This window comes from Homo sapiens, chromosome 19 (genome assembly GCF_000001405.40).
Source record: "Homo sapiens chromosome 19, GRCh38.p14 Primary Assembly".
Classification (NCBI taxonomy): Eukaryota; Metazoa; Chordata; class Mammalia; order Primates; family Hominidae; genus Homo; species Homo sapiens.
This window is the reverse complement of record NC_000019.10, coordinates 12,794,348-12,804,501: the sequence shown is the minus strand read 5'-3', so window position 1 is coordinate 12,804,501 and position 10,154 is coordinate 12,794,348. Positions and strand designations below refer to the sequence as shown.

General features: G+C 53.9%; 2 protein-coding genes across 2 annotated transcripts, besides 7 other annotated features; one reads left to right on the top strand and one right to left on the bottom strand.

Annotated features, from left to right (window-relative positions):
* Positions 113-2,433, bottom strand: THSD8 (thrombospondin type 1 domain containing 8). Its single transcript, NM_001386800.1, has 2 exons — positions 2,283-2,433; positions 113-398 (listed from the first exon to the last, which is right to left on the bottom strand). Exons 1-2 carry the CDS (start codon positions 2,428-2,430, stop codon positions 199-201), a joined length of 348 nt encoding a protein of 115 aa, NP_001373729.1. The 5' UTR covers positions 2,431-2,433; the 3' UTR covers positions 113-198.
* Positions 2,342-2,891: a transcriptional cis regulatory region, noted in NCBI's record as "promoter|chr19:12912425-12912974 region (GRCh37/hg19 assembly coordinates) targeted for CRISPR interference". NCBI's record gives its function as "positively regulates RNASEH2A gene expression in K562 cells {active_cell/tissue: K562}" and the evidence as "EXISTENCE:mutant phenotype evidence [ECO:0000015][PMID:31784727]".
* Positions 2,342-3,097: a biological region, named in NCBI's record as "CRISPRi-FlowFISH-validated RNASEH2A regulatory element". NCBI's record gives its function as "regulatory_interactions: RNASEH2A".
* Positions 2,355-2,744: a silencer, noted in NCBI's record as "silent region_10175". NCBI's record gives its function as "represses an Ori minimal core promoter by ATAC-STARR-seq in GM12878 lymphoblastoid cells {active_cell/tissue: GM12878}" and the evidence as "EXISTENCE:reporter gene assay evidence [ECO:0000049][PMID:35858748]".
* Positions 2,539-3,097: an enhancer, noted in NCBI's record as "H3K27ac-H3K4me1 hESC enhancer chr19:12912219-12912777 (GRCh37/hg19 assembly coordinates)". NCBI's record gives its function as "activates a minimal SCP1, AML or CMV promoter by ChIP-STARR-seq in primed H9 embryonic stem cells {active_cell/tissue: H9 hESC(primed)}" and the evidence as "EXISTENCE:reporter gene assay evidence [ECO:0000049][PMID:30033119]".
* PRDX2 (peroxiredoxin 2) lies at positions 2,702-7,679 on the top strand. The gene is made up of 6 exons (NM_005809.6): positions 2,702-2,762; positions 3,232-3,343; positions 3,433-3,586; positions 4,203-4,325; positions 4,513-4,643; positions 7,336-7,679. Exons 2-6 carry the CDS (start codon positions 3,241-3,243, stop codon positions 7,419-7,421), a joined length of 597 nt encoding a protein of 198 aa, NP_005800.3. The 5' UTR covers positions 2,702-2,762; positions 3,232-3,240; the 3' UTR covers positions 7,422-7,679.
* Positions 2,754-2,939: a silencer, noted in NCBI's record as "fragment chr19:12912377-12912562 (GRCh37/hg19 assembly coordinates)". NCBI's record gives its function as "represses an EF-1alpha promoter that drives an FKBP-Casp9 reporter gene in an ReSE screen in HepG2 liver carcinoma cells {active_cell/tissue: HepG2}" and the evidence as "EXISTENCE:reporter gene assay evidence [ECO:0000049][PMID:32094911]".
* Positions 3,425-3,624: an enhancer, noted in NCBI's record as "active region_14083". NCBI's record gives its function as "activates an Ori minimal core promoter by ATAC-STARR-seq in GM12878 lymphoblastoid cells {active_cell/tissue: GM12878}" and the evidence as "EXISTENCE:reporter gene assay evidence [ECO:0000049][PMID:35858748]".
* Positions 7,874-8,283: an enhancer, noted in NCBI's record as "active region_14082". NCBI's record gives its function as "activates an Ori minimal core promoter by ATAC-STARR-seq in GM12878 lymphoblastoid cells {active_cell/tissue: GM12878}" and the evidence as "EXISTENCE:reporter gene assay evidence [ECO:0000049][PMID:35858748]".

The following is a 10,154-nucleotide window of genomic DNA, read 5'->3' as shown; positions in this document are numbered from 1 at the left end:
TTCTCCCTAGATATCAGCGGGGCTCACGGCTCCTGACTCAGCTTCCCCCTAACCAAATCAGCCTCAAGTCACTCAAGACTTGGAGCCCCAGTTCTCCCTTCCTCAAACTCGCTTCATACCCGCCCCGCACCGCACATCCTCCCTCCGCGCCCACCCTGGGCCCCGCAACTTGCCCCGGCCCTGCTCTCTCACCCGGGCTCAGAGCCTCCAGTCGCAGTCGAAGGGCTTGCAGGATGGACAATCCCGTTGCCGGCAGGGCCGTAACTGGATCAGCTTCTCCGGGTCCATGAAAACCGGGCCCGGCGCTGTGCCCACTACCTCGCGGCTGCGCTCCTGCTTGCCCAGGTCGCAGAGACACCGCCACTTTCCCCACGGGCCAAGGATTGAGTCCTCGACTTCTAGAGAAGGAGGGCAGAGGTGAAGACCTACGTGGAGGGGGCCTACTCCCAATCCCCTCCCCCAGAGAGGGAGAAAGATAAAGATACTAACGAATAAGAGAAGCACATATTCGCTAGACTCTGCTTCTATGCCAGACACCCTGCCACAGATTATCTCATTTAAGCTTTTTTTTTTTTTTTTTTTTTTTTTTTGAGACAGGGTCTCGCTCTGTCGCCCAGGCTGGAGTGCAGTGGCGCAGTCACAGCTCACTGCAGCCTCAACCTCCTGGGCTCAAGCAATCCTCCTACCTCGGCCTACCAAGTAGCTGGGACTACAGGCACATGCCACTGTGCCTGGCTAATTTTTTGTATTTTTTGCAGAGACGGTGTTTCACCATGTTGCCCAGGCTGGTCTGGAACTCCTGGGCTCAAGTGATACTCCCATCTCAGCCTCCCAAAGTGCTGGGATTACAGGTGTGAGCCAGCCACCATGCCTGGCCTCATTTAATATTTCCACGAGTCTCAGGTGGGGAAACCAAGACCCAGAGACAGCAAGCCAACCTTCCAAGCTCATATACGGGGTAAGTGGGCCAGAGGAACTACAACCTGACACTTCCAGGCTGTGCCAGCCTGCCCAGTTGTGAGTGTCCTACAACATCCTTGGTGCCCGCCATTTGAAGCTGACTTCTGTCTTCAGGGGTGTGACCATGGCCCTACCTAGAAGGCACAATGCCACCTGACAGCAGGGTTGTCAAGTGATAAATGGCATAATTGACATAATGAAGGTAAGTAAATCTCCCGGTGCTGTGCTAGCATATACAAACCAATTTATTATGATCAGTTTGTTTATTTATTTAATTTATTTATTTTGAGACAAGATCTTGCTCTGTTACCCAGGTTGGAATGCAAGGGCATAATCATGGCTCACTGCAGCTTCAAACTCCTTGGCACAAATGGTCCTCCTGTATCAGCCTCTTGAGTAGCTGGGACTACAGGCGCATGCCACCATGGCAGGCTAATTTATTTTTTATTTTTATTTATTTATTTATTTTTGTAGAGTAGGGGGTCTCTCCATGTTGCCCAGGCTGGTCTTGAATTCCTGGGCTCAAGCAGTCCTCCCGCCTCGGCCTCCCAAAGTGCTGGGCCATCAAGTCAGGCTAATTTTAAAATATTTTTTGTAGAGATGGAGTCTTGCTGTGTGGGCCAGGCTGGTCTGGTCTCCGAGACCAAGGGATCCTCCCACCTCAGCCTCCCAAAGTGCTAGGATTATAGGCGTGAGCTACCGCGCCGGCCACTGTGATCACTTTAAAGGGCTCTTTACTGAATCTGCCCCTTTCCCCTATGAGACAGATCTTATCCCAACTCCGATCTTATCCCAACTCACCGCTCACCAAGGTCTGACACCTCCTACCCTCCCACACCCATGTCTCTGCCACACCTCACCGACCTCTTTCCATTTCTCCTTCAGGACTTTTCACCTTGGCATTTGCTATTCCCTCTTCCTTGGACATTCTTTCCCCAAATCTTTCCATATGGGACTTTCGCTTGTCGTTCTCGCTGCACTGGTCACGGGTCTTCTGCAATCGGACCCTCTCTGATTTCCCAAGCTTGCCCGCCCCCTTCTTTCTCTGTCTCTGCCCTTCCTGGCACCTATCCCCGAGTGACAGCTTCAGTGTCCTGCCCACACCCTCTCTTCCCCTGGGAGCTGCTTTAAAGCAGTATCTATTTCAATATATCCAAGAGTAAACCGAGCCTTAGAGAAAAGTAACCAGCCCAAGGGGACGCCTCCAGTGCGGAGCTGGGTGGAGATTTGCAGCCCGCCGAGGAAGGTCCCTTTGCAGCCAGCAGGAGAAGTAGGGCAACGGGGAGCCTTTGGGCATCGTCATCCCCGCCGCCTGAGGTTACCCTTTAGATGCTGCAGCCTCAGCTGCTCCCAGCTGTCACCTTCGCCCTGCTGCCCTAAGTACTGATAGTCCTGGTAGACCAGGGCAGGGGTCGCCAGCTGCAGGAGTAGCAGAGGCGCCAGCAGCAGCGCCCCCGGGGTCCGCGCCATGCTGGACTCCAACGGCCCCCAACGCGCTCCCAGGCGGAGTCGTGCGCGGAGTCTGCGGCGGGCGCATTACCCACGCGGGCAGGTGCAGTGGTCCCGGCCGAAGGCAACGCGTCTCCCCCCGCCGCCCGCAGGCGCATGGACCCGGCCGCACGCTCCCCCGCACCTGCGGGCGCAGTGGACCCGACCGCTCCGCTCGTCCGCTCCCTCCCCCGCGCCGTGCACGTCTTGGTTCGGGCCGGGCATAAAAGGCTTCGCGGCCCAGGGCTCACTTGGCGCTGAGAACGCGGGTCCACGCGTGTGATCGTCCGTGCGTCTAGCCTTTGCCCACGCAGGTATGAACACCCGGAGTGCACCTGGCGGGAGGACCCCCTTCAGGCTGCTTTGGCCCGATCCTGACTTTAGTGCTGGCCGCCTTTGCTTTCCATCCGCTATAGTGGCCTCCTTTGTCCTTGCGGGGGAAACCGAGGCCACAGCCTTGCAGCGCAGGCCTGATCGCCCGACTTCCCGCCCCCTGCTCGTGCGGGCCTCACTGTCTCCTTCTGGGCTGGGGGCTTGCGACACCGCCCTCCGGCCGACTCGCTCGTGGGGTGCTGGTGGCAGTGGCTGGGTCACTCGTGCTCTGGTCAGGAGAGCGGGTCTCCGGCAGCCTCCGGGCCTCGTAGACCGGGTACCCGGGAGGGTGAGGGTTAGTGCTGTCGCCTCCGCCGTGCTGACTCAGTCATAGGGCCCAGCACGCAGCGCGACCTTGGGTTGGGAGGACAAAGTGTCTTCCCGGGCGCACTGACCGGGCGGGGGTCTCAGCTTTCAGTCATGGCCTCCGGTAACGCGCGCATCGGAAAGCCAGCCCCTGACTTCAAGGCCACAGCGGTGGTTGATGGCGCCTTCAAAGAGGTGAAGCTGTCGGACTACAAAGGTGAGCGCCGCCCGGAGGGGGCCCAGGTAGAAGCGGGGCCGTGCATGAGAGAAGCTGGGCCCTAACTCCTCTGTGTCCCTCCTCCCCAGGGAAGTACGTGGTCCTCTTTTTCTACCCTCTGGACTTCACTTTTGTGTGCCCCACCGAGATCATCGCGTTCAGCAACCGTGCAGAGGACTTCCGCAAGCTGGGCTGTGAAGTGCTGGGCGTCTCGGTGGACTCTCAGTTCACCCACCTGGCTTGGTATGAGCAGGGGCCAAAGAGGGAGGTTGCAGCTAAGCTCACACCCTCAGGTCCTAGCAGTGTGGCTTCGTGGCCATTGCTCAACCTCTGGAACCTGCGTTTCCCCATCGTGAAAATAATGGAAACATTGCCGCCCAAGTCTTTAAGGATGATGACAGTAATTAGCATTTGACAACTAGTTGCCTGGTATATAGAGTTGCAGATGCAACTCAGATGCAACTCTATCTACTCTATGTACTTAGTTCCCAGGAGGGAGGCTGTGCTGCCCTATTTCATGAAGATGGAAACTCCAGTTCACCGAAGTGAAGGGCTGTACCCCATGACACAGCTAGAGGAGGATGGGGACTCTTAACACAGGCTCTCTGCTGGGTGATGCTGCAAGTTACAAGTACATGTGAAGCCACTTAGCTGGAGCTGTGCCTCTCAAACTCAGTCTTCCCAGCCATGGGGATACAGTCCTTGCACCCAACCCAGGGTGGGGTGGGTGAGGCTCCCAGCGGCCTACTCTAAAGCCCCTTATCTCCGGCCTCCAGTGCTTATCACATTGGGCCCACAGGGTGAGGACCCTGCTGTGCCAGGCATCCTGAGGCCCCAACTCTGTCTCCCCTACTCCCAGGATCAACACCCCCCGGAAAGAGGGAGGCTTGGGCCCCCTGAACATCCCCCTGCTTGCTGACGTGACCAGACGCTTGTCTGAGGATTACGGCGTGCTGAAAACAGATGAGGGCATTGCCTACAGGTACTGTGGGACCCTCAGCCCGGCTCAGGGAGCGCCCTGCCCCCCATTCCTGTGATGCTGGGACCACTCCTGTACAATGTCTTCTCTGCCCCCAGCCCTGTGGCTAGCAGCGGGTGGTTGGTAGTCCCTTCCTTGTCTCTGGCAGTGGGAGCTATCAGCTCCTCACTGGGAACCCTGATGTCTTCAGGGGCCTCTTTATCATCGATGGCAAGGGTGTCCTTCGCCAGATCACTGTTAATGATTTGCCTGTGGGACGCTCCGTGGATGAGGCTCTGCGGCTGGTCCAGGCCTTCCAGTACACAGACGAGCATGGGGAAGGTGAGCAGATACACACATGACACATGGGTACATACTGAGCGCCTCCGTCACTCATGCAAACATTCACTGCCTGTCCTCTTACCTGTCCAGATGGGTGTTAGGGCCCCAAAGAAGATTCAGCTCAGGGCTTTGTCTGCAGGATGTTTCTAATGTGGTAGGAGACAAATAACGCCTGACATTCAACCAAGGTGGACAAAGGGGCCGGGCTCAGTGGCTCACGGTTGTATTGCCAGCACTTTGGGAAGCTGTGGCAGGTGGATCACCTGAGGTCAGGAGTTCGAGACCAGCCTGACCAACATGGTGAAACCCCGTCTCTACGAAGAACACAAAAAATTAGCTGGCCGTGGTGGTGCACACTTGTAATCCCAGCTACTTGAGAGACTGAGGCAGGAGTTCGCTTGAACCCAGGAGGCAGAGGTTGCAGTGAGCTGAGATCGCACCGTTGTACTCCAGCTTGGGCAACAGAGCAAAACTCAGTCTCAAAAAAAAAAAAAATTAGCTTGGTTTGTGAAGCATGCCTATAGTCCCAGCTACTCAAGAGGCTGAGGCTGGAGGATCACTTGAGCCTGGGAGGTCAAGGCTGCAGTAAGCTGTGATCGCACCACTGCACTCCAGCCTGGGTGACACAGCAAGACCCTGTCTCAAAAAAACAAACAAACAGGCCGAGCGCGGTGGCTCACGCCTGTAATCCCAGCACTTTGGGAGGCCGAGGCGGGCAGATCATGAGGTCAGGAGTTTGAGACCAGCCTGGCCAACATAGTGAAACCGCGTCTCTGCTAAAAATACAAAAAAATTAGCTGGGTGCGGTGGCAGGTGCCTGTAATCCCAGCTACTTGGGAGGCTGAGGCAGGAGACTCCCTTGAACCCGGGAGGAGGTTGCAGTAAGCCGAGATCACACCACTGCACTCCAGCCTGGGCGCCAGTGTGAGACTCCATCTCAAAAACAACAACAACAAAAAAACCTGTAGGGGTGGGGCAGAGGGACAAAGATGGGACTAAAGGAGCCAAAAAGACAGGAAGATGCTGTGTCTCATGCCTGTAGATGCTGTGTCTCATGCCTGTAGTTCCACCTACTCTGGAGAGTGAGGCAGAAGATTGCTTAGGCCCAGGAATTTGAGTCGAGCCTAGGCAACATAGCAATACCCCATCTCTTTTTTTTTTTTTTTAAGAGATGGGGTATTGGTTAAAAAAAAAAAAAAAAAAAAAGAGGCCAGATGCAGTGGCTCACACCTGTAATCCCAGCATTTTGGGAGGCCTAGGTGGGTGGATCACCTGAGGTCGGGAGTTCGAGACAAGCTTGACCGACATGGAGAAACCCAGTCTCTACTAAAAATACAAAATTAGCCCAGCCTGGTGGTGCATGCCTGTAATCCCAGCTACTTGGGAGGCTGAGGCAAGAGAATCGTTTGAAGCTGAGAGGCGGAGGTTGCAGTGAGCTGAGATCGTGCCATTGCACTCCAGCCTGGGCAACGAGTGAAGCGAAACTCCGTCTCAAAAAATAAAAAAAAAAAAGAGGCCGGGCACGGTGGCTCATGCCTGTAATCCCACCACTTTGGGAGGCTGAGGCGGGCGGATCAAGAGGTCAGGAGATCGAGACCATCCTAGCTAACGCGGTGAAACCCTGTCTCTACTAAAAATACAAAAAAATTAGTCGGGCGTGGTGGCGGGCGCCTGTAGTCCCAGCTACTCTGGCGGCTGAGGTAGGAGAATGGCGTGAACCTGGGAGGCGGAGCTTGCAGTGAGCAGAGATCGTGCCACTGCACTCCAGCCTGGGCAACAGAGCAAGACTCCATCTTAAAAAAAAAGAAAAGAAAAAAAGAAGAAAAAGGAGAGCTGGGTGGCAAAAAGAAATTGAAGAATTAAGAGTAGGAAAAACACCAGCTAGAAAATACTGAACTTGGCCAGGTGTAGTGGCTCACGCCTGTAATCCTAGCATTTTGGGAGGCCAAGGTGGGTGGATCACCTGAAGTCAGGAGTTCGAGATCAGCCTGACCAATATGGTGAAACCCTGTCTCTGCTAAAAGTACCAAAAAATTAGCAGGGTGTGGTGGCGGGCACTTGTAGTCCCAGCTACTCAGGAGGCTAAGGCAGGAGAATCACTTGAACGCGGGAGGCAGAGGTTGCAATGAGCCGAGATCACGCCATTGCACTCCAGCCTGGGCAACAGAGGAGGACTCTGTCTCAAAAAAAAAAAAAAAAAAAGAAAGAAAGAAAAAAGAAGAAAAGAAAAAGAGAAAATACTGAACTTGGCTAGGCATGGTGGCTCACACCTGTAATCCCAGCACTTTGGGAGGCCAAGACGGGCAGATGACTTGAGGTCAGGAGTTCGAGACAAGCGTGACTAACATGGTCTCTACCAAAAATACAAAAATTAGCCAGGCGTGGTGGTGCACCTCTGTAATTCCAGCTAGGGAGTCTGGGGCATGAGAATCGCTTGAACCCAGGAGGGAGAGGTTGCATGAGCTCAGATCATGCTACTGTACTTCAGCCTGGGCAACAGAGCAAGACTCTGTCTGAAAAAAAAAAAAAAGAAAAAATACTGAACTGGGCTTGGAGGGTTTATCTTAATATCCACATTCCTGGGCCTGGACCACTTGCTTCCAGCATTTTCTTCTGCAACACAGGCCCTTGCTTTGCTTCACCTTGAACCTGGGGCTGTAGCCTTCATGTGCATCCTTGTGTCTTCCCACAGTTTGTCCCGCTGGCTGGAAGCCTGGCAGTGACACGATTAAGCCCAACGTGGATGACAGCAAGGAATATTTCTCCAAACACAATTAGGCTGGCTAACGGATAGTGAGCTTGTGCCCCTGCCTAGGTGCCTGTGCTGGGTGTCCACCTGTGCCCCCACCTGGGTGCCCTATGCTGACCCAGGAAAGGCCAGACCTGCCCCTCCAAACTCCACAGTATGGGACCCTGGAGGGCTAGGCCAAGGCCTTCTCATGCCTCCACCTAGAAGCTGAATAGTGACGCCCTCCCCCAAGCCCACCCAGCCGCACACAGGCCTAGAGGTAACCAATAAAGTATTAGGGAAAGGTGTGAGTCTGTGTTGGTGTGCTCTGTCCTTTCGTCCTCCCCTGCAACCCCCTTCCTTCTTCAGGCTCAGGCTTGGGAAACTGACCCTGTGGTTGCTCATCTTCGCCACACGGTGGCGGTCTTATCACATGCTTAGTGCCTGCTCTTTTCCTGCTTGCGCTCAAGGCGGTTTCGGAGGGGTAGGGTATGCCGTTTGTCCCTTGCAAATCCCAGGATGCCCTACATCCAGAAATCTGGCCATGCAAGGCAAAGCCCACATTTTGTCACCAGCCAGCCTGGGTTCAAATGCCGTTTAAGAGCTGTGATCGTCTCTGGGTCTCTTCAGCAGTAAAATGGGACTGCAAACCCAGATCACCATGCACGTGGTAAAATTTGTAGGAGATAAGTTATGTGAAGCTCGGGGCTGAGGCCCCTGTGTAGGGCCCAGTTCCTAGTTCCTAAGACGGCTTCCTCGAGCTGAAAGGAACCCAGCCCAGTGTAGTCTTATGGGGAAGAGGGTGGGGACCCAGTCTTAAGAGCAGAACCAAGAATGAGAGCCTGAGCTACGTGCAGAGTGCAGAGTCCCTGCTGTGAGCTCTGCCCCACCCCAGGCTGGAAAGGTTGCCTGTCTGCCCCTGGGGTGGGAGGGTGGCAGTTAGGCTAGAAGGCAGGTATTAGCAGCAAGGCAGGGTTCCCAGGGGTGCAGTTTAATATTGTGTGCGTTCAGGAAAGTAGTTTTGCTACTCTATGCCCCAATTTCCTCCTACAGAACAGGGCTAATATGCTCATTTAATCCACAGATCCACTATTAATGCTGGTACCCACCTAATACCCTCTAAGGGTCACTCATCTCCCTTGGAATTTAATCTACACTCCTCCCCAAGGCCCCTGCTCAGTCTCCCTTGACATCTGCCCTGTTGTGGTTCACTCCATTCCAGACAGGCTGGCTTCCTGCTGTTCTTTCACAGGCTCACCTGGCTACATGAATTTTGCCATTTAAGAGCTGCTCCCAAGGCCGGGCGCAGTGGCTCACGCCTGTAATCCCAGCACTTTGGGAGGCCGAGACGGGCGGATCACGAGGTCAGGACATCGAGACCATCCTGGCTAATACAGTGAAACCCCCTCTCTACTAAAAATACAAAAAATTAGCCAGGCATGTTGGCAGGTGCCTGTAGTCCCAGCTACTTGGGAGGCTGAGGCAGGAGAATGGCGTGAACCCGGGAGGCAGAGCTTGCAGTGAGCCGAGATCGTGCCACTGCACTCTAGCCTGGGCAACAGAGCGAGACTCCGTCTCAAAAAAAAAAAAAAAAAAAGCTGCTCCCAGTTGAGCGGGGTGGCTCAGGCCTGTAATCCCAGCACTTTGGGAGGCCCAGGCAGGCGGATCACCTGAGGTCAGGGGTTCGAGACCAGCCTGGCCAACATGGTGAAACCCTGTTTCTACTAAAAATACAAAAATTAGCCTGGCATGGTGATGCACGCCTGTAGACCCAGCTACTTGGGAGGCCAAGCAGGAGAATCGCTTGAATCCTGTGGGTGGAGGTTGCGGTAAACTGAGATCGAGCCACTGCACTCCAGCCTGCCTGGGTGACAGAGGGAGACTCCATCTAAAAAACACAAACAAACAAACAAAAAACTGTTACCTCTGATGCTGTTGTTACCCAGGATTTTCTCAGGACCCCACTTCTTCAAATCTGTTGAAAAGTCATGGCCAGGCACGATGGCTCACGCCTGTAATCCCAGCATTTTGGAGGCCGAGGCTGGCAGATGACCTCAAGTCAGGAGTTCAAGACCAGCCTGGCCAACGTGCTGATACCCAGTCTCTACTAAAGATACAAAATTAGCAGGGCGTGGTGGCAGGCACCTATAATCCTAGCTACTTGGGAGGCTGAGGCAGGAAAATCGCTTGAACCCGAAAGGCAGAGGTTGCAGTGAACCAAGATCGCACCACTGCACTCAAGTCTGGGTGACAGAGCAAGAATCTGTCTAAAAAAAAAAAAAAAAAGTCACTGCAGGAGAAGAGCACTGGCTCACGCCTGGAATCCCAGTGCTTTGAAAGGCCAAGGCGGGAGGACTGTTTGACCCAGCAGTTCCAGACCAGCCAGGGCAACATAGCAGACCCCATCTCTACAAAAATAAACAAAATTAGCCAGGCATAGTGGTGTATGCCTGTAGCTCTAGCTAGTTGGGAAGTTGAAGTGGAAGGCTTGCTTGAGCACAGAAGGTCTAGGCTGCAGTTAGCTATGATTGCACCACTGCGCTCCAACCTGAGCAACAGGACAAAGACCCGTCTCTAAAATATAAAAAAGAAAAAGTCACCCTATTAAAGGTCCATGTTCCCACTCCATTCTGCAAAGCATCTTTCCTCCCTGCCCCATCATTGCCACCTTGACCTTTTTTTTTTGTTTTTTTTTTTTGTTTGTTTTAGTTTGTTTTTTTCCTCTTACTAGCACTTACCACCACCCCCAAAGAACCATGTTTGCTTGTTTATTTATTGTCTTG

Excerpts from the sequence above, each read along its gene's own strand:
- THSD8 (NM_001386800.1), bottom strand. The coding sequence starts at position 2,430 with ATGGCGCGGACCCCGGGGGCGCTGCTGCTGGCGCCTCTGCTACTCCTG. Across the intron at positions 399-2,282 it reads GAGGCTGCAGCATCTAAAGG|AAGTCGAGGACTCAATCCTT; the intron begins GTAACCTCAGGC and ends CTCCTTCTCTAG.
- PRDX2 (NM_005809.6), top strand. The coding sequence starts at position 3,241 with ATGGCCTCCGGTAACGCGCGCATCGGAAAGCCAGCCCCTGACTTCAAG. Across the intron at positions 3,344-3,432 it reads GAAGCTGTCGGACTACAAAG|GGAAGTACGTGGTCCTCTTT; the intron begins GTGAGCGCCGCC and ends CCTCCTCCCCAG. Across the intron at positions 4,644-7,335 it reads CACAGACGAGCATGGGGAAG|TTTGTCCCGCTGGCTGGAAG; the intron begins GTGAGCAGATAC and ends GTCTTCCCACAG.